Source organism: Homo sapiens, chromosome 13 (genome assembly GCF_000001405.40).
Source record: "Homo sapiens chromosome 13, GRCh38.p14 Primary Assembly".
Classification (NCBI taxonomy): Eukaryota; Metazoa; Chordata; class Mammalia; order Primates; family Hominidae; genus Homo; species Homo sapiens.
The window spans coordinates 91237768-91260752 of record NC_000013.11 but is presented as its reverse complement, the minus strand read 5'-3'; the positions used below and the strand labels follow the sequence as shown (position 1 = coordinate 91260752).

Below are 22985 nucleotides of genomic sequence, written 5' to 3'. Positions count from 1 at the left end.
ATGATGTGGGATTACATGTGCATAGTCAGTAATCTCACATGAATTCAGTAATACTTGTAAGGAGGAAGATGTGATAAAGCAAAATGACAAATTAAATAATACAGGTGATTTCACTCGCCTTTCCACTGTCAACACTGAGTGAAAAACTAGAGTTTATTTATTTTTTAAACATACACTAACTAGCTTATCTGGTACTCAATGGAAGAAACAAAGCAGGAAAAAAATTGGAAATTATGATTTATTAAGAGATAGTGAGTTGTTTTCCAATGTGGCTTAATTTGCATACCTTATTTTCATCTTATTCACTGACTTTGAAACCTAACCCTTTGAAAAGCTGGCTCCACTGTTAAGAATTAGAGCCTAGATTAAAACCCAGGCTGATTAGCAAAGTCTGTCTGATGATCAACCCTGTGCTCCTCAGCACTGCTGTATACAGCCTGGATAAATAAAAGGATAAAAGCTGTCAACTTTTTTTTTGTTTCTCCTTGCAGAATTGGGAGCTCAAGATTATTTCCCTTTCCCTCAGTTTGCTGTTACTTAATATTTTCGAATGCCTGCAACTTGAAAGGCAATGGAAATTTTATATATCCTGCCATTGTCTTTTATTAGCATGATTTTTATGAAAGGGTACACTTATACAATAGTATTCATATTTTAGAGTATAGGATATGTCAAATTTCTATTGGATATAAAAAGTTTATTTCCATAACTTATACAATATATGTCAGAAAAACGCTGGTGTTTTCAAGACTGGTAGCAGTTGTTTTCTCTTTCTGTTGGCTTTCTTTGTCTAAATATTGTGCAGAAATATTTAGTACTCATAATCTAACACTGTTAGAGATTCAAATACATCAATTTTTTAAAGCAGAAGATACTTTTTAAAAAAGAAACTATTAATGAATACTACACTCTAGTTGGAATAATCATATATTTCTCTTTGAGTCCATATTCCTGCTTTCAAAATAAGCCTTTCTAATTAGAAAGGCATTTCAAAAATGCCTTTCTAATTCATAAGGCATATCAACTTTATTGCTATTTATTTTTAAGCTTTATCTTCTGTGTTAAAGATTCATGTATTTTTTAATTTGAATTTTGAGGGTGCCTAGTATGTCCCTGCAAATAAGATACTCAGCAATGACTGCTGAATGAATGAATTTTCTAGATGACAGCTACCAAGATTTATTCTGAATTTCATTAATTTCATTTATAGTTGACCTTGAACATCTGTAATATTTATATATAAGAAATGACATAAAATTCTTATACAGTTATCATCTTTATATTTTTATACTTTGAAATAAAATGTGTTTATTTTAAGCCGAAAACAACAATAAGAGCAACAACAAGAAAACTATCAATGGCAGAAAGCAAAAAGTAGCAGTAAGTGTTCTGTTGGGTGTGCATAGAATTTTTTTCAAAGTTTTTGAGTCAACAGTTTAAAGTTAGATTATTTGAAATAAAAATTGAGATTTCTAGATTTTCTTAAAATCTGAAGATAAGCCAACACTTTCTCTATTCCCAATGCAGCCTTTTAGACCTGGCCCTTGGCACCCTCTGGTTCACCACTGGCCCCACCCCTCTTGCAGTGCATGCATCTTCACTTACAACTGGCTCCAGTCATCATTTATACCAGGTGCCTTGAGACTGAGAGTATGTGAGAATAATAATCAGGTTGAATGGTTTTAAGGAAATCTGTTTTTGGATTATCAAGTTCTGGTATTCTTTCCTAAATTAGTCTGACTGAGATCCTGCCTGAGTTCATGATAACCCTTCTTCCACTATGGAAAACAAGATGTGTCCTCTTCCATCCCAAATCTATCTGTGGAGTAGGGCTTTGGGGCATACAATTTATTTTATACAAGCCTCTTGTAATGATTAATCAGAGCACCACAGAACTCGGGAGCTGCTTGTCCTTCCTGTATTCCATTTTTGGGTTCTTGGAGAAGCCAGGCGTAAGAAAGGAGGTCCCTATTTGATGCTTTAAATTCAGATAAATTCTTTAATAAGGTTATGAGAACAATGTTTATTTTACTCATTTGCTAACTAATTAAACTTATTTTGAACAAATATATGATTCTATTGAGGGAAAGTCTCTCTATTCATACAACTAAAGAGTATTTATAAGAGACACTGAACTAATAAAAACCTACTTATTTATTTAGTTTTTAAAATTTAATCGTAAAGAGTTATCTTTAGTCAATCTTAATTTTCTTCTTATTTCAGATTGCTATCCAGGTATGATTTAGCAATATATACCTTTCTCTTTTATAAATAAACAGGAACAAAATTATTATAAAGTCCGATGAAATTAATGGCTTTAGCTATAACTTTGATACTCAATTATTATTTTTAATTGTTCCTCAAATCTGCACACCAGAGGACCACTACACTGTGTATTATCCTTCTCAGTCTATATATAACTTAAAATGTTAGCTACACACCTTGGATTGCATTATTACAAATTAAGTGTCCGTCTTGGTCAGTGTTTTTTATTTATATAATTCCCTGAAACTCCTATTATATATATTTGAATTGAAAATGGTGTTCTGACTTTTTGTTTTTGTAAGAATATAAGTCTAATTTTGTTGATTAATTTGACAGTGAGGATGGTTCTATCAATTAGATATGATACTTATTTTCTGTAAATCATGTAAGCTAAATCCGCAGGTCCAAGTTGCGATGAAAATATATTTTAAAAGTATAATAATATAAAACTTTTACTTAAAACATTATATGTGCAATTAACATTATATTTGCAAAATTAACAATATTTTTATTTTCTCAACTCTTTTGAGTCTTTTGGGCTAAACTAAATATTTCCAGGTGAAAGAACGACAGAACTATTTAATAATCATTTGATAAGTGTTGGCAAAGACTTTTTTATTTCGTTCCTAGAAATTGAGTAAGGGAATGATAGGACACAAACAAAATTCTATTTTTTTTTTTGAGACGGAGTCTCTCTCTGTCGCCCACGCTGGAGTGCAGTGGCACGGCGAGATCTGGGCTCTCTGCAATCTCCGCCTCCTGGATTCAATTGATTCCCCTGCTGCAGCCTCTCTAATAGCTGGAATTACAGGCGCCCGCCACCACACCCAGCTAATTTTTGTATTTTCAGTAGAGACGGGGTTTCGCCATGTTGGCCAGGCTGGTCTCCACCGTGTGATTGGCTTGCCTCGGCCTCCCAAAGTGCTGGGATTACAGGCGTGAGTCACCGCGCCCGGCTCACAAAATTCTTTTACGCTTTAGGTGGTTTCCAATTCTTTGCTTTCAACAAGTTTGGAAGAGAACTTAATAAAGTAGACAGCTGATAGCATATAAAAAAGTAACTTTTAAGGATAGATGGTTATGTGATTTTGACAGAGAGCTCATAAACTTTTTAAAAATTTAGTGACACTACAATAACAAAACTTGTTTATATAAGGTTTCTCAGAGATTACATTAATTAAAATGAAAAATTGCAACGGAATTGATACTGACCCCTTTATCAGTCTGGCCAGATGAAATATGGAATAATTGAAAAAAGGAAACCTAATCCCATCTAAGTCATGCAAGAGATGCATTCACAGTAAAATTTCGTTTTATGTTCATTGTGATTTGTATTGTATTTATGTTGTTTTAATCAATTGTTTATAAAATATAGAATATATTAAAATTTATATACATGTATTAGTTATAGAAAAGCCTGATGCATAATCATTAAAATACTTTGTGATTTTTAATTTTCAAGCATAATACACTACATACAAATAAAGTTCAATGGAGAAAACGAATGGAAATACAACTTAAAGGAAAAGAAGAAAATGTATAAAATTTCTAAATGTTAAAGATGAGCTTTTCTTTGTAATGGTGATGGTAAATAACATCATTAAAGTGTTTAGCTTCCACTTGATAAATTTAAAACCATGATTTAACTGCTTTGTTAAAAATGTTTTATTTATGGCCAGGCGCGGTGGCTCACGCCTGTAATCCCAGCACTTCGGGAGGCCGAGGCAGGCAGATCACGAGGTCAGGAGATTGAGACCATCCTGGCTAAAACGATGAAACCCCGTCTCTACTAAAAATACAAAAAATTAGGTGGGCGTGGTGGCGGGCGCCTGTAGTTCCAGCTACTCCGGAGGCTGAGGCAGGAGAATGGCGTGAACCTCGGAGGCGGAGCTTGCAGTGAGCCGAGATCGTGCCACTGCACTCCAGCCTGGGCGACAGAGCAAGACTCCGTCTCAAAAAAAAAAAAAGTTTTATTTACAATATGCTGAAAAACAAATGCATTGCAATTATTTAAACGCATAATGAAAAATTTTAGATGACTTAAAAATACGTGAGGGATGCATAGTTTTTCCGAAATTACTTTAGGGGCTATATGAGCAAAACGTTTGTTCCTGTAGCGTTTGATTTTGTAACTTCTGCTCTGAGGTAGGTTTGTGTGCATAATAGAAAACGTCTTCATTTGAGGGAAACTGTTCCAGAATATTTAAATTAATCTTAAGTAACTGGAACTAAATATTTAAAAGAGCCTCTGTAGTTAGAATGCACACTGCTTAGTGAGAAAGAGAAAAACTCTCTAAGAGAGGGGTGTCCAATCTTTGGGCTTCCCTGGGCGACTTTGGAAAAATAATTGTCTTGGGCCACACATAAAATACACTAACACTAACCATAGCTGATGAGCTTTAAAAAATCGCAAAAAAACCCCTCATAATTTTTTGAGAAAGTTTATGAATTTGTTTTGAGCTACATTCAAAGCCATCTTGGGCTACATGTGGCCAATGGGCCGGTTGGACAAGCTTGCTATAAGAGATGAAGTGGATTTCAACACACAAGGTGCACGTGTTTCACAGCTAAATGAACATTAAATTCATACCAAAGAATGGAAAGAAATTAAAAGTTCTCATTGTGTACATTGAAGTTTAAGATGCTACAAACCTTAGAGAGCTATCAACAGGTTTACTGTAGTGTAGGATAAATAACCTTAATTGTCTTACATAAGTGAATTTCTTATCATTGTCTTCTGTTGAGTGAATTTTAGTACTTAAAAAAGATTTTGGAGGAGAGAGTTAGCTGAGTTAACTTTTCGTGTTTATATTTATAGGTTAGTGTAACTATTTAGTTCTAGAAAGATAAAAAATGATAAAAGTCATAAATAGAAAATAATTTTTGAATATTCAATTGACACAAACAATTTTAATGAGTTAAATAACAGACGTTTAATGGTATTGGTGTCTTCCTTGATTTTAATTTTTGCTTTTGACACCAGAAAGGAAAAACAAAGAATAGTCTTTGCTTTCTCACTTTCAACTAAACGTGATTTTAGCAAAAGGTACGGAGGGAAAATAAGTCATCCCAAAATGAAGAGGATATTAAAGAAGTAAGGAAGTGATATAAGCTTTTCTCTTTTTTGATAATGCTGTCTTCACATACACCAACTCCAGTACAACAATAGGAACAAACTGAAAAAATGATGATGAAATGTACAATGTTCATGGATTAAGTTAAACCCACAATGAATAAAGGCACTATGCATCACAGCAATATTATCCTTAGTGATTAGCAAATTTTCTCAAAAAATCCAGTGCACTCCACAATGCAGCTCCTTCTTTCTCCTTACATTCATGACAAAAGGACGTCAGTGGCACTGAAAATCACAGGGCACCTTTGCTAGCTGAGATGGAGGAAAGTCAGAGCTGTAGAAAGTTGTCCACAAGAATAATAATCTCCAGTCCATAAAATGACACAAATTCTGCCCCTTTGGCATATTTTGTGAATGGGGCCTGGCTTCCTGTGAGCTGGCAACATGCTCCAGACTGGGGTTCTACCAGTGGTATAGAAGCTTACGTGTCTCTGTTGCTCAACTATATTCACTTTACAGATAAATAAATGGAGGCTTAAAAATATAAGTAAAGTACCCAGAGTACATGATTTGTAGGTGGCTGAAACTGGAATTTTACATGTCTGACTCTGTGTTCTTTATAAAAATTTTAAAAATAGATTTATAGATTTGGGGGTACAAGTGCAGATTTCTTTTTATTTTATTTCTTTTTATTTTTTGAGATGGAGTCTTGCTCTGTCGCCGAGGCTGGAGTGCAGTGGTGCACTCTCAGCTCACTGCAGCCTCTGCCTCCTGGGTTCAAGTGATCCTCCTGCCTCAGCCTCCTTAGTAGCTGGGATTACAGACTCCCACCACCACACCTGGCTAATTTTGTTGTTGTTGTTGTTGTTGTTGTTGTTGTTGTTTTTAGTAGAGATGGGATTTCACCATGTTGGTCAGGCTAGTCTCAAACTCCTGATCTCAGGTAATCCACCTGCCTGGGCCTCCTAAAGTGCTGGGATTACAGACGTGAGCCACCGTGCCCGCCCCAGTGCAGATTTCTTACATGCATGTATTGCATAGTGGTGAAGTCTGGGCTTTTAGGGTAACTGCCACCGGAATACCGAACATCGTACCCAATAGGTAATTTTTCCACCCTCACCCTTCTCCCACCCTCCCACCTTCCTCCCCTTAGTAGTCTCCAGTGTCTAGTGTTCCACTCTGCCTGTCCATATGTACTCATTGTTTAGCTCCCACTTATAAGTGGGAACATGTATTTGACTTTCTATTTCTGTGTTATTTCGCTTTGGGTAATGGCCTCCAATTTCTTCCATGTTGCTGCAGAAGAGGTGATTTCTTTCTTTTTTATGATTAAGTAGTATTCCATGGTATAATTATACCACATTTTCTTTAACCCTCCATTGATGGACACTTAGGTTGATTCCATATCTTTGCTATTGTGAATAGTGCTGTGGTAAACATACAAGTGCAGATTTTTTTTGATATAATGATATTTTTTCCCTTTGGGTAGCTATCCTGTAGTGGGATTGCTGGGTGGGATAGTAGTTCTATTTTCAGTTCTTTGAGAAATCCCATACTGTTTTCAATAAAGGTTGTACCAAGGTTCCTTCCCACCAACAGTGTAAAAGCATTCCCTTCTAAGTTTGTATTCTGAACTGCTCTATTATACTATCTTTTATTAAATTTCAACCTCTGAGAAACCCACAGATCTTATTTATAAGTTTTATCCAGTTCCACCTTCTGGCTCACCTGTGTCTTGCTCGTTTTGAGGGATACCCTCCAGCCTGAGGTTCTGCAATTCCTCCTGTCCTTCTGGGTACTTTGAGGTATCCTTCAACAATGTCTACCTAAGGACAAAATAATAAAAACAAAACAAAAACCACAAAAGCCAAAAATGAAAACCCAAAACAAACAAAAAATGTTTTAAGGCATACATAAAATTACGATTGATCATTTTACATTTTTATTACATGCGAGAACCTTAAAATCACTTAAAAGATGTATCTATGTTAATATTCAACATACATTAGGTGTAAATTACCTTGGGCTCAGTTCTGTGATCCACACTTAGGAAATACTAATTCATGTAGCCAAGGGAATGCAATTCTCCTTGGGACTATATGATGTGGGGGAATTAATTCTGATTTCTTCTGCCACAAGCAAAGTAAGTTTCCGGAAACTTGCTTTACTCTTGAAATCCATGACATATTCAGAAGTATTTAGGGGCCTTGCAAATTCCCTGCACAATTTTTTTAAAACAGGGAAAATCATAAAATCTCTAAGTAGCCACAATATCTGTTTGTTTATTGTTGTGGCTGTTTCACACTGACCTTAAGAAATCAGGCTCCCTTATAGTGCTTACTTTAATTAAAATTATTATATTAAGAAAGGAAAAGAAAATCAGTCTCTTAGATATTGTCACACAAAAGGCAAAATTGTTAGAACTCAGTAATTTGGTTGAAAATTTTAATAACTAATGAAAAATTTAAAAGAAAATTAAAATTTAAATACACAGTGATACACGTTGTTTTTAGATACACCTGTGTCTGCATTATGTGTCTGAGATTTTAAGTCTATACTAGACAAGATTTTTTAAACTTCTTCAATATAATGCTCTCAATTTTTGAAGATAATAAGATTGAAAGTTCATGCTTCTATATCATACTGTACTTTGACAATTAGAAAGACTAATAATCAGAATCCAATTTTTGTGTTTCTTAATTGATACAAACCTTTCCACATAAACTTTACTAATTTCTTTAGAATTTCCCTTCTCATCTAGATATTAATAATATTTGATTACATAGAAAATCCCCATTATATTATGGTTTATAAATGCATGGACTCAATGCCACATTTTCTAAAATGTGTTTTTTTAAAAGCATGATCTAATATATTAGCATGTTAATCAGGGTTCTTCAGAGAAACAGAATCAATGCGTTATTAATTTATTTATTATTAGGTACTTGTTCATGCAGTTGTGGAGGCTGATTTATCCCAAGATCTGCAATCCAAAGGCCTAAGAACTAGGAGAGTTGACAGTGAAAGTTCCAGTCTGAGTCCAAAGTCAAGTGATCTCTGATGTCCCAGCTCGAAGACTGTCAGGCAGGGAGAGTGAGTTCTTTCCTGCTCAGCCTTTTCTTCCATCCAGGCCTTTGGTGGATTGGAGGAGCCCATCCACACTGGAGAGGACAATCTGTCTTACCCAGTCTACTGATTCAAATGTTAACCTTATCCCTGAAACATGGGGGTTTTTAATCAAATATCTGGGCACCCTGTAGCCCAGTCGAATCAGTACATAACATTAACCATCACAATTACCTCTGTGTGAATTTCAGCGATGTGCCTATGGCCACTGCATACAATTTGTGCAGGCTGTGTACTTCACAAATTTAGGAAACATTATTCATCAAATTAGTCATCCAAAAGTCTTAAAGGTGCAGGCATTCTCCTCACTAATTTATGTAAAATTAATGTGTAGGCTAGATAGAGGATTGCCTTTACCTATCAAACTGTTATAAAAGGGTCTCCAAGTTATGATTTAAAAACGGCTCAGTGGCTCACATTTGTAATCCTAGCACTTTGGGAGGCCAAGGCAGGCAGATCACTTGAGATCAGGACTTTAAGACCAGCCTGGCCAACATGGTGAAACCCCCATCTCTACTAAAATACAAAAATCAGCGGGGCGTGGTGGCACGTACCTGTAGTCCCAGCTACTTGGGAGGCTGAGGTGGAAGAATCTCTTGAACCTGGGAGAGCAAGGTTGCAGTGAGACATGACTATGCCATTGCACTCCAGCCTGGGTGACAGAGAAAGACTCCATCTCAAAAACCAAACAAACAAAAAACCAACAAAATAAACAAACAAAAAACTCCGCTCCTACACAGTTAGTAAGATAATTAGGTAATCATCTTTACAGTAAAAAATATTCCCATTTCCTTTAAGACATATTGGAGATTGAGTTGCCTCTGTTCTTCATTTACTCATTCCTAGCTTAGTGATTAGTTTTTGAAATGAAATTGTATTCTTAATTAAGTATACAACGTTGCAATCTCAAAAAATATATGGTAACTTGTAACTTACAATATTAAAATGCTTCTGAAGGGCAACAACTTAAATATTTCCAAATAGAAAATGAAGAGAAAGAAGGAAAAATTAACTAAAATAATTTTACAGTTATTTTTTCAAGTCATTAATAATCAGTTTGCATAAACTATGGCAACAATGAGAAAAATCTAGTTTAATCAATTTTGAAAATTAGAGTCTCTCTCGTTTCTTTGTTTCGTTTTGTTTTTACAATAAACTTTTTTCTCAAACTTGTTTGCCATGTTAAAATAACTGGTGATTTGGAGTTCATTTTGTCGTGAAAATCATTGCACCGAGAAGAAAGAGTGTCTGGCTTGTCAGAGTATAAATAATGCAGTAATCTGGAACTGCCCCCCACCCCTTTGCGTCTAAGATGAAAGTTGTTGAATAGAAATAAAATCAATGACTTTGAATTCAAACTAATGGCTTCAGAAATCTTTGCAAAATGACCTCTTTTAGTGATCCAAAGGGTCTTATGAATTTTCATGGGAATAATATCTAGCCAGTAATTCCTAAATTTGATAACAAATTATCTTACATTTTAGTTCCTTTCTCACCTACTATCACTTTTGTTGAAAGATGACCCTAAAATTAACCTAAAAATAATCTGTCCTGCATCTCAGTGACGTGTATGTGTACCCTCACCTCATGCTCAAGATTTTTCTTTCTCTCTGGACTTCCTTATTTTCTCAAACTAACAAACTATCCTTGTTGTCATTCTGACTTAAGAGGTTTCCTTTATGCCTTTTTCTCATCTTCTCCAAAACCAGTAATGAGAAACTCATAGTTATTTTTCCTTGTCATTGATACCTCATTTTAATTCCCACTGTTATCATCTTGGTACTAGAACTCATTGCTTCACAGCAAGACGATTTTAATAATGTCTCAGCTGATCTTTCTTGATCTTGTTTCTGGCCTCTCCAATATTTTCTGTACGCCACTGCTTGCTTTATTCAGTTCATCTTTCTACTCAAAATCCATCCAGATTTCCTCATAATTAATAGAATAGCTTTCAGATTCCTTTCGATTTTCTTTAAGATTTTCCACACTCAGACTCCAATCTACTAATCTAACATACGGTTTGGCTCTGTATCCCCACCCAAATCGCATCTTGAATTGTAATTCCCACAGGTCAAGGGAGGGAGGTGGTTGGATTTGGGGGACAATTTCTCCCAAGCTGTTCTAGTGATAGTGAGCAAGTCTCAGGAGATCTGGTTGCTTGATAAGTGTGGGGCTCTTCCCTCTTTTTGCTCTCTCTTCTTTCTCACCTGCTGCCATGTAACATGTGCCTGCTTCCCCTTCTGCCATGACTGTAAGTTTCCTAAGACCTCCCCAGAAATGTGGAACTGTGAGTCAATTAAACCACTTTTCTTTATAAATTACCCAGTCTTGGGTATTTCTGTATAGCAGTGTGAAAACGGGTTAATACAGTAACATCATTGATTGGCTCACTCAGAAGACATTTTTAAGAGTTACTCTGTGCCAGGGGCTGGTGCTGGGAACTTGATGCATAAAGTTAAGGCGTATGATTATTGGTCTTGACAAGCTCACAATGCTTCTCAGCAAGAGGATCTTAGAGGCTGGTAATGCTTTCCATTACCCCCTCCCCAATTTCAAGTGCTATTTTTTCATTTAGTAACTAGTTCATTTCTCATTTTTTTCCATGAAACCTTCTTTAACTATCCCAGTCCATTTTGATTGCTTCCTCCTCTGAACTTTTATCTTATTACATTTACTTATGATAATCTAGATCACTTGTTCTTAACTGAGGTGGACTTTGCTCCCCAGGAGATGTTTAGCAATTTCTGGAGACATTTTTAATAGTCAGAACTGAGAAGGGGTGTGCTATTGGCATGTAATGAATAGAGGCCAAGGATACTGCAAAACGTTCAAAAACATGGGGACAGCACCCCACAACAAAGAATTATCGGGCCCCAAGTGTCAATCAATAGTGCCAGTTAAGAAACCCTGATCTAGGTAGTTGTTATCTATATATAAGCCTTATTTCCAATTATGCTGTAAACTTATTGAAGTAGAAACCATTTATTTTTCTATAGATTTTTCTTTCTTTTTAAAAACATAGTGTAGGCTGGGTGCAGTGGTTCACGCCTGTAATCCCAGCACTTTGGGAGACCAAAGCAGGAAGATTGGTTGAGCCCTAGAGTCCGAGACCTGCCTGGGCAACATAAGGAGACCCCATCTCTACAAAAACTGAAAACATTAGCTAGGCATGGTGGCATGTAGTCCCAGCTACTCAGGAGGCTGAGGTCGGGGGATTGATTGAGCCTGGGAGGTCAAGGCTGCAGTGAGGCATGTTTCTACCACTGCACTCCATCCAGCCTGGGTGACAAAGTGAGACCCTGTCTCAAAAAACATGGTGTAGTGGGTTGAATGGTGGCCCTCCTCCACAAAAGATATGTCCACATTAAATCCCTGGAACATGTGAATGTTACCATATTTTGAGAAAGGGTCTTTGTAGATGTAATTAAGTTAAGGGTCTTAAAAATGAAGATATCATCCTGGATTATTTAGACAGGCACCAAATTGAATGATAGACAATAAATAGAAGGACAATAAATGATCCTTGTAAGACATACAAAGAGGAGATGCATAGACAGGAGAGACACACACAGAGAGAGGAGGAAATGTGAAGATAGAAGCAGAGACTGCAGCCATGCAGCCACAGCCCAACACAGAGGTGAGGAGAAAAGAGAGACGGAGATGGAAATGATGTGGCTACAAGCCAAGGAAGACAAAGATTGCCAGAAGCCACCAGAAGCTGCAAGAAACAAGGAAGGAGGATTCTCCCCCAGAGCCTCCAGAGAGACTGCAGTCTGCCAAAACTTTGCTTTTGAACTTCTTGCCTTCAGAACTGTGAGAGAGTAAATTTCTGCTATTTTAAGCCACCAGGTTTTCAGTAATTTGTTATGACAACCTCAGGAAACAAATACACCTAGTAGCTACAATGCATTATTTACCCATAGTGGGTGGTTAATGAATATTTCATATTTATAATGAAAACTATCTTTCTTCTTTGTAGAAGTTCAATTACGCATTTTTACAAAAATTGATCGAATTAATATTCTTGTACTTCGATATAACTTTCCTCAGTTAAACTGCTAGATGTATCAGCACAGGCATACCACCTGCTCACATGAGAAGCCACACAATGCAAATATCAGATGCCAATGCAAATCCATTTGTGTAAGTAGTCATTAATTTATTTAAAATATACTCCATGTAGATATACTTTAATGAAAACTTAACCTACTCTGCTATACTCATTAGCTATAAAATATAATGTTATACTTTAGAAGCTGGTTGTGTTTAATGTAGCTTGTAGCAACATCAGCTTTAATCTCTAGATGGCACTATGTTATAAGGAATCAACCCAAAATCTGATATTACAATTTTCATATAACTCTTCTTGGAAATGAAGAAAACTGTCCTGCTAAAAATCTGAGGAATTATATTCCATACACTGAAAGTCTCATTTTACTAAGTATGGTTAGGTTTCTAATTTATACATTACTGTGGGATAAGGAAAGATAATAGGGGAATTGAGTTCTTAAAACATTATAGTCAACAGTAAAAAATATATCATAAAAGTTGTTCACTTATGCTTTTGGATTATTTTGTGTACATTTTGTTGGAAAATTGTATATAAACAACAGAGCCAGCACTGGGGTTCTTACATGAGAATGTCCATATAACCTAACACTTTATCTTTGATAGTTATAGGTGAAGATTAATGAACTACTTTTCACTTTAGCTTAAAATATAAACAAGATAACACTTTTGCTTTTTTAACTCATTATTGAAATTCCAACTTTGGTCTCAGTAGAAAGAGAAAAAGCTACTTGTATCATCTTTTTCTTAATTCTCTTTTTTACATTCCTGACCTCTCCTCTGAAGAATATATTTTGCCTTGAGTCTCCAGTGACTTCTAGGGATTTAAAAAATTCTTTTAACTTCCTGAAGCCTTTAGTAATGAGATTTTTCTCTATTTGCATATGTGGTAAACTCAATGGAGGCAATCAATAATCTCTTATCTTGGGCTTCTTCACTTTCACAGCATTTTGAACCACTCCTAAAGTACATCTATTCATTTATTGTTTTGTATTTTAATTATCTGCAAATAGGCCTTACCATCTCTACAAAATTATACATTCCTGGGGAGATGGCATCCTGACTACCTTTATCCACATGCTACGTGTTTAGTAACTTCCTATTGAATTAAATGGATTTAGTAGCATACAACATTATCCTATTCAAAGTAAAAATAAAAGCTAATTTGTAAGTTGACCTTCAAAAACCCCCAAAACATCAGAGTATCTTTTATTGAAGTATAAAATGAAGGTTTCAAGTAAAATTACATATACTTTTCTTCGTCAGATCAATGATTTATGGATTAGTTTTTGGGTAAAATTTGAGTACCTTCAAAACCAGTTTGTTTGAATTTTTGTACTCTCTAAGTACAAATAGAAAAATAATCTCTATCATCACCCCTACCAATACCATTCCCTCAACCTTTACTCTTCCTTCAGATCTCAACTTATCTGCCAATTCTTGCAGGAACAATTCTTCCGTCTTCAGAGAGATGCCACGTTTGTGTGTTCCTAAGTCATACCACCCTTCCCCTATTATAGCACAAAATTAGACTTTCATTGCTTATTTCTTCGTCTATGTCTTTTACTAGTCTTAAATTTCAAAAGAACAGGAACCATGTGTATTTTATTTACTCTTACAAGCCCAGGAGCTAGCACAAAGCCTGCTGCATCTTAATCCACACCTGTGGATGAGGGCAGACGGAATGATTTCAGGATGAAAGGAAAACCTTTACATTGTTTACTTTACAAATATGTTGGGATATTTATGAAGTGCCAAGCACTTGTGTATTCTGGACACAAACGATAGAGCATTGAGCAAGGCAGAAACTTCCCCTGCCTCTCATGGAGCTTCCATTTTAGTGGGGCAAAGACAGGCAAGTCAACAAATAAATACATAAGTGAGAAAGTGAATACAAAATAATTTGTATTAAAAAAAGCTAAAAATATTAATAAACAAATAAGTATGTAACATATATAACTTAGTTAAGTACATGTGATAAAGAATGATGGAGGCCAGGTGTGGCGGCTCATGCCTGTCGTTCCAGCACTTTGGGAGGCTGAGGCGGGAGGATTGCCTGAACCCAGGAGTTTGAGACCAGCTCATGATAATTTGAAATAAAAGATGATGGTACTTAATTATAGCACATTGAATTAAAAATATGCAGGGACATTAGTAATACTTGGTAATAAGAAAGAAGGAGAAAAGAAAGAGGGGGCCAGGCAGGGTGGCTCATGCCTGTAATATCAGCACTTTGGGAGGCTGAGGCAAAAGGATCTTCTCAGCTCAGGAGTTTGAGACCAGGCTGGGCAACACAGCAAGACCTCATCTCTACGAAACATTAAAAAAAAAAAAAATTAGCCAGGTATGGTAGCACATTCCTATAATCCCAGCTACTCTGGAGGTTGAAGTGGAAGGATCACTTGAGCCCAGGAGTTGGAGGGTGCTGTGAGCTAAGATTGTGCTATTGCACTCCAGCCTGGGTGACGGCGTGAGATCCTACCAAAAATAAATAAATGAATAAATAAATAAAAGTGATGAAGGCCTTTCCAAGGAGATACAATTGAGGCAGAATCTGAATGAAGTGGATGAGGGGAAGGGTATCTGTGTGTGTTTGTGGAAGGACATCTCCTTCAGAGGGCAGTTAATGTGAAGGGCATGGAAGCAGAAGTTTGCTTGGTGTTTTCCAGGAACAGGCGTGAGGCTGGAGTGCATGAACAAGAGCAGCAGAGTGTGGTTGGAGATATGGCTGGAGAGGAAACCTGGTGTCAGATAATGAAGAACCTTGTAAAACCTGACAATAACTTTGGATTTCACTGGCTATGGGAGGTCCTTGTACTGAGGTGGTGGTGATGGCGGTAGTGGGCATAGCCAGATTTGGTTTATATTTGAGTTGGAGCTGTCAGAATTTGCTGATAAATGTGGAGTATGAGGGAAAGGGAGGCATTAAAGATAACTCCAGGTTTTTGGTGAAGGCAACTGGAAAAATGGAGCTGCTGTTTATTGAGACAGATAAGAAGTAGAGGTTTTAACTTTCTGAAGCAGACACAGGGAGAGGGAGGCTTTTGCTTTGAAGGTAGGAGCTATATCAGTGTGTGTGTATGCTAAAGGAAGTGATCCTCAAGTGTGGGAATGATTAAAGGTGCAGAAAAGAGGGGATAATTACAGGAGTGCTCCTTTATTTGGTGAGAAGAGCTATGAACCCGTACAGGTGAAGTGGTTGCCTTAGATAGTTCACCCCATGTGCAAGGAGGAGCTGTAAGGGTATAAAAGTCAGATGCAGAAAAACTGGTATATTTGAAGCTGGGAGTACATCAAAGCTGTTTTTGATGCCTTCTATGTTAATTGATGAATCAATAAAGATGTAATGTTTCTGAGTTATTGCAGGAGGCTATGAAGAAACCTTGAGTAGCCTGGCAGCCTAAGGGTAGGTTCTGAAGCCAGAGAGATTTAGGAATTGATTCTCAGGTCCTCCGCTTAGTGGTTGTGCAGTTTTGGAAAAAGTAATATCTCCGAGTCTCATTTAGAAAAAGAGAAAAAGAAAAGGCCACCATTTATGAGCCAGTCGACCATCTGAGAACCAGGAATTTGTGTTAAAGCTTTACATGAATTATTTCATTTCATCTTTATAACATATATATAAACCAAGTATTATTTATCTCCATATCTTGATGATGTGAAAAACCAAATTTGGGAAGGCTATAAGGATCTTGATTAGGACCACATATCGGATGAGTGACAGAGGCAAAATGCCTCTGGGGAGGCAGACCCCAGATCTCATGCTCTTAAATACTAAATTAAATTACTCATTAATAAACATCATGGAAATATCAGCCTTTGAATGAAATATCTGAAAATGTCTAGGACAGCTTTGGGTCTCCTCCATCATATGCCGGTGCTAGGCAAAATTCTGAGATGGCCCTCAATGTTCTCTGCCCTCTGGTGCATGTAGCCTGTATAGCCCCTGGATTTGTGAATACGAAGATTTCGGTCTGTAATTATATTATGTTCTATGGTACAGTTGACCTTTAAAAAGGAAGATAGGCCAGGTGCGGTGGCTCACACCTATAATCCTAGTACTTCAGGAGGCTGAGTAGGAGGATTGCTTGAGCCCAGGAGTTTGAGACCAGCCTGGACAACATGGCAAGATCCTGTCTCTACAAAAAAAATTAAAAATTAGCTGGGTGCAGTGGCACACGCCTGTGGCCCCAGCTACTTGTGAGGCTGAGGCAGGAGGATCACTTGAGCCCAGGAATGCAAGGCAGCAGTGAACTATGATCACACCACCGCATACCAGCCCGATTGACAAAAATGTATGTGGCCTCAAGGACCACACAATGGCCCTGGGTGGCCTCTAGGAGCTAGAAAACCCTCGGCTGACAACCATCAAGGAAACGTGGACATCAATCCCACCGCCACAAGTAGCTGAATTCTTCCACTATCCTGAATAGCTTAGAAGTGGAATTTTCCCCAAAGCTTCCAGATAACAACTCCATTTGGCCAACACCTCAATTTCAGTCTTGTAAGAACCTGAATAGAGAACTCAGTCACAGACTTCTGACCCACAGAACTGTGAGCTAATAAATGGCCATGGCTTCAAGTCACTACAATTGTGGTAATTTACCACGCAGCAAGAGAAGCATAATACAATATCTCAAAGATTGTTGTGATGATCAAGTACCCAGTATTCCTACTTACTTATCAAATGGAGGTAGGAGACCAGCAGCACTTGTTTTCTGGTCAGAATTCTGCTGACCAAAACAGGATCTGGTCTAGACAGGATGAAATGAAGAAACTGTCAGGAACCAGCAGATGATGAAAAAAGAGATCCCAAGGTGCTCATTGCTCATTAGCATAAGACACTCCTATCAGCACCATGACAGTTTACAAGTGTCATGGCAATGACCTGGAGTTACCACCCCTTTTCATGGCAACAACCTTGGCATTACCACCCCATTTCTAGAAAGTTCTAAATAACCCACTCCTCAATTTGTATCAACCTACCCCTTAATTTGCATGCAATTGGAAGTGGATTTACGTGACTATAAATGCGGTTACCAAGAGCCCATATGTGGCCAACTCTGGGCGCACTGCCTCCGAGTTAGCCCTGCTCTACAAGGGGCAGTACCATTCAGTGAAAAAGTGCTCTCTAACACCACTGGCTTACCCTTGAATTCGTTCCTGGGTAAAGCCAAAAACCCTCCCTGGCTAAGCCCCAACTTGGGCTTGCCCATCCTGCAACAAAACCATAGTAATTTTCTTGAGAAAGCATTCATTTTCAGTCAGATTTCATTCACTTGAGAATGGAGATCTAAAATAGCAGAAAAGCCTCAAAAGAGCAACTGGTATGGGAAGCTGAACAGATCTGGAAGAAAGCCCAGATGTGAGGAACACAGGAGGAGGTGGTGTGTTGGAAACCCACACATGAGCCATGGGGAAATAGGAGTGGCTATTAAGGATCCTCAGCAAGTTCACACTCCAGAGGTTCTTGCTGTGGAACCTAAGGCTGAAACTAAAAGGTGGTTCTTACAGTGGAGGGAAGGTATTTAGGGTGGATAGAGCCAAAGCAAACTTGTGTGGTTGCATTTCACACTGGCTTTGCCCTTAATATATATTTTTTTCTAATTAGACTCTAATATTTAGTCACCTAGGTTCAAAGCAATGCCATTATTTTTGTTGCTGTTGTTCTTGTTTTTGAGATGGAGTCTTGCTCTGTTGCCCAGGCTGGAGTGCAGTGGCGCGATCTCGGCTCACTGCAAGCTCGGCCTCCCGGGTTCACGCCATTCTACTGCCTCAGCCTCCTGAGTAGCTGGGACTACAGACACCCGCCACCACGCCTGGCTATTTTTTTTTTTTAGTAGAGACGGGGTTTCGCTGTGTTAGCCAGGATGGTCTCAATCTCCTAACCTCGTAATCCACCCGCCTGAGCCTCCCAGAGTGCTGGGATTACAGGCGTGAGCCACCGCGCCAGAGCAATGCCATTATTTTTAAGTCAGTCCTTCTACAAGTCATTGAGTCTGATTAATGATGCCTTCAAATATTTCTTACATTTCCATTTCTTCTACTTGCTCCTTATATTAAAACTTTGTCTTCTGGTAATTGGTTTGCTGTTGCAAACACTTCCTTGGCCATTACCCAGGCCATTTCTGTGCATCAGACTGGTCTTACCCAAACCTTTCACTCCTCGTGGCATTTCCTTGCTCGTACCTTCTCTGCCCAGGACTCTATCTTGCCTAGAACTTTGAGTCTTTTGGTCTGTCTCGATTCATGTATGAGGAAACTGAAGTCAATGCAGTGCACTTGTTAGAGCAGCAAACAGGGCCAAAGGAAGGCCTAGAACAAGATCTCCTGATTTAGCTCAGTGTTTTTCTCCATTACACTATTCATACTTCTCACAATGGCTTCAAGGCTTTTCTCATTTATTTCTAGCCTTACCCCTCCACCTTTGCTGTCTTTACTCCTCATTGTGAATCATCCACTCCAGGCAGCCCCATTTCCCATCTGTCCTGTGAATGTGTCAGACTTACCTTATTCCACCCAGTGGATGCCCTCTTTTCTCCTTTGCCTTTCTAATGATGGTGTTTATGCTTGCCTGTCACTCTACCAACACAGATTTCTTCTTTCTCTGAATTCTGCCAGCATTCACTGTTTGTATCACTCATTAAAACATAAAGTTTACAAACCACCTTATTTGGTTGTAAATGTTTCATGGGTGCCTGTCTTATTTTCCAAGAAGATTATACATTCCCAGACGATATCCATGGTTTCCCTTTTATTTGTCGCCAGCTCTATGCCTTGTACAGCATAAATAAATAATATATTGAACTAAATTGGTCTTAGTGTTCTGCACTGTTTACAGATTAAATCATGAACATTTACTGAGGGCCTATTAGGTATTAGTCAGGGGATAAATCTCTCCTCAAAAGGAGCCCACACTCTAATGGGGAATTTAGGCAAGTGAATTGCTCCAAAGTTGTATGATAAACACATTGTGTGGAGAGTTTTGAGGTTATGCTACTCCAAATACCAATCCAATTATTACAGAAAAGTGAGATGTCATGGCTGGTCTTGCTCTTGGCATGGCTTTTCTCCAGATGAGACTGATGATTCATGCAGGGATTTTATCCATGCTACATGTTACATTAGTTCCATGCTGTAGACAGTTGAACACACTCAGAGAACTAAAATATATTGCAGCAAAGCCACATTTTAAGGACTTTGCTGTAGCGTGGATTCAATTATTCTGGGTAAATAACCTATCTGATTAGATGCCCTACTGTATTTTCATTTGCAAAGTTCTCTGATCCAGATCCAGTTAATTAAAAATCGATTTTCAACCTGATCTTTTTCATTTTAAACAAATATGCCCTTACCATCTTGTGAACAATTTAAAGTTTGGAATGTTGGCCCTTCAGAAACATGTTGAACTTCATTATAATAAATTATGTTGCTTTGACACTGGCTACAAATGACAACAAATCTTTTTCACATAATACTTTCTAAAAAAGCAAAATAAATAAATAAATAAATAAATATAAATGAGAAAGACTGAAAAGTCCAGTTGACAAATTGCAACCGGTCTGCACTAGGATAATTTAGTACATCATTCAGTATCACTGAAATGTAAAGGAGCTTTGTTAGGATTTAAAAAATTGAGGACTTGGATTCCTACCCAGTTGCAGTAACACAGGGTAGCATTGTTAGTTCTGATTCAAGTGCAACTGATCAAAAGGTTATTGAATATTCCTTGTCTCTCTGCCAACTCTGAATGTCTTCTCCCTGACTGGAATATTTGGATCCTGTTGTTCATTAATGCTTATCTTACATTCCACTCACTATCATTATCTACCTTTCTCAGTAATTAGCTAATTATATTTTGAGATAATTAGTTTAATGAAAGTGTGGGAAGTATGCAGTAAGAATCTAAGTGATACTGTCATGACCTCTACATGTAGATTAAGCAAAAAGTAAGGGACACAAAATATACAAAAATAAGGAACACTTACAATATTATGCAAGTTCAAACGATGGTGTGTACTTTAGTGAAATATCTCAGATAAACTCTAGTCTCCTTTTTGTTTCTATGACTCCTTGAGAGTATATAATGGTCCATTGCATGTTAGAGATATGAAATTATTGTTTCAAGCCATTAAGGCAGCTTTTTGGCCCTATAGTGGTAATTTATGTGTTTTGTTTATGGATTTCTCAAATACAAATAAAGAAATGCAGGAATTTAGGAAAATGAAGTGAAATAAGATGAGTAAAGTAGTTTTCTTAGTAGAGGCAACATAGCCACACTTGTAGAACTCTATTCTTTAAAAAAGAGCATATTAAAAAAAAAGAGCAAGTTGAAAGTAAAACTAAATGCTTATTTATTACCTTGTGATCTATTTATTTGTAGCTGTGTATGTATGAATTTATGTATGTATGTCCTTGAATGTGGCACTTTGCAGTTTGCTATGGAAGAAAAAAAGAATATTAGACACGATTTCCATCTATAAGGAGGTTATTCCTCCTTAATGGCAGTTATGAGAACGTACCTCTCAGTTCCCCAACTCTGGGGGTATTGAGTATGACTGACTGTGTTAGTCCATTCTCTCACTGCTACGAAGAAATACCCGAGACTAGGTAATATATAAAGGAAAGATGTTTAATTGACTCACAGTTCCACATTCCAGGGGAGGCCTCAGGAAACTTACAATCATGGTGGAAAGCAAAGGAAAAGCAGGCTTCTTCTTCGCAGGGCGGCAGGAAGGAGTGAATGCAAACAGGGGAAATGCCAGACGCTTATAAAACCATTAGGTCTCATGAGAACTCACTATCACGAGAACAGCATGGAGGAAACTGCCTCCATGATCCTATTATCTCCATCTAGTCCCACCCTTGACACATGGGGATTATGGGGATTACAACTTGAGGTAAGATTTGGGTGGGGACACAAAGCCAAACCATATTACTGACCAAGGACCTCTGCTGTTGTGCTTTGAAGGCCATCATTGCCACATTTGCACTGTGCATAAGGAAAATGATACACTTATCACAGCCTTCCAAGCTACACTTAAATTCTCTACACTTCCTAGTGACTGTTCTCAGCCGATAACTGAGTACAGTTGAGATACTAAAACAGCTTATTCCCAGAAAACATGAGACTCCTAAGATAGCCCAATTTGGATTACGGACTCTCCATGAATATTACTGGACCTTCCTCTGACTGCATCACAGTCTAAGATGATTCCACCCAAGCTTCCTTCCCACTCTTCTTCCTTCGGGATCAGACTTGCATTGTATGTGAATAGTTCTTCCAGCCTCCCCTGGCTTGCCCCTTATTTTCCTGTGCAGGCACATTTTCCCCAGTAAAAATCCTCACTTGCTTAATCTTGTCTTGACATATTATCTTGGAGGACACAGACTAACATGCTAGATGAAGAAATCAAATATTACTCAGGAAAAAATTAAAAACAACATTATCAGTAAGTACAAAAGAAGAGGAAATGGACAACACAGTGGAAGAGGTCACAAAATGACATAAAGTACTTGATTCAGATAGGTAAAAAGGGGCTGATATAGAAATTATAATGCATAACATATTTTGGGAATGGTAGGCATCCTAATTGAATGGAATACGGAAGAACTGAGGATATGTTGGAAAGGTTTATTGAAGTCAGATTATGGAGGAACTTGAATACCATGCTGAAGAATTTGGCTGGTCTTTTTTCTCTACATTTCTTTTGAAAATGTGGCAGCAGTGGAGCTCCAAGGATTTGAGAATGCTGGACACCAGCTGGCATTTTCTTTCTCAGACTATCAGTATAGAGGCAGGACTAATGTCTAGTGGAGTTCAGCAGCCCAGGAAGAAAGCTGTGAAAAGGAATTTTAACTCTGGACTGGGATTTGCAATCCTAACCCCTTTGTAGTTTCCCAGTGAGCTAAAAACATAACTACACATGCGTGCAACAGATTGCTTTTGAGAATCAGATTTCAGTTCTGCACAAGAACAAGCAAAGGAGCTTCTTTCACTTCTTTCTTCTAGAAATGTGGTAACAATGAGCAGTTATGGGGCTAGAGTTGAAAGGTTTTGATTGGCAATCCAAAATAGGGTTTGTTTGGCAATGAATGTGCTTAAAAAATGCAGAAATTTAACATTAAAATATAATTTTATGACCGTCCTTGAATAATGAGTTTATGTGAACAAATTTTTATTCTTGCATGGTCACAAAACTAGATTTGAGTAGCAATCCCTCTGTTTAGATAGGGTAAGCATTCTTTGGTGCACCACAATCCCCGCTCAACCCTATCGTCTAACATCTGTTTCATGTTGTAAATCTATAGTCCTGTCCAGTGTTTGTAATTTTTGAGTGTATGACCCCAATCTAAACCTACACTTAAACTTCCGCTTTTTAGATCCTCCCACATTAGAGTGGAAGCCTCATACCAGCTCAGTCACATGGGCAGGGTGTTTTGATTTTGGGCA

General features: G+C 37.6%; 2 long non-coding RNA genes across 2 annotated transcripts in view; both read right to left on the bottom strand.

Moving 5' to 3' along the window:
• The window catches only part of LOC105370314 (uncharacterized), a 29410-nt gene extending 20350 nt beyond the window's left edge, over positions 1–9060 (bottom strand). The window contains exons 1-2 of the long non-coding RNA XR_931642.3: positions 9022–9060; positions 7070–7167 (exon numbers count right to left, since the gene is read on the bottom strand). This is a non-coding gene — a long non-coding RNA (uncharacterized LOC105370314). The remainder of the gene's footprint in view (positions 1–7069; positions 7168–9021) is intronic.
• Positions 9061–9082: 22 nt separating this feature from the next.
• On the bottom strand, positions 9083–19112 carry LOC105370313 (uncharacterized). The gene is made up of 3 exons (XR_931641.2): positions 19042–19112; positions 17213–17286; positions 9083–9119 (listed from the first exon to the last, which is right to left on the bottom strand). It is a non-coding gene; the product is annotated as an uncharacterized LOC105370313 (long non-coding RNA).
• Between the last annotated feature and the right edge of the window lie 3873 nt (positions 19113–22985).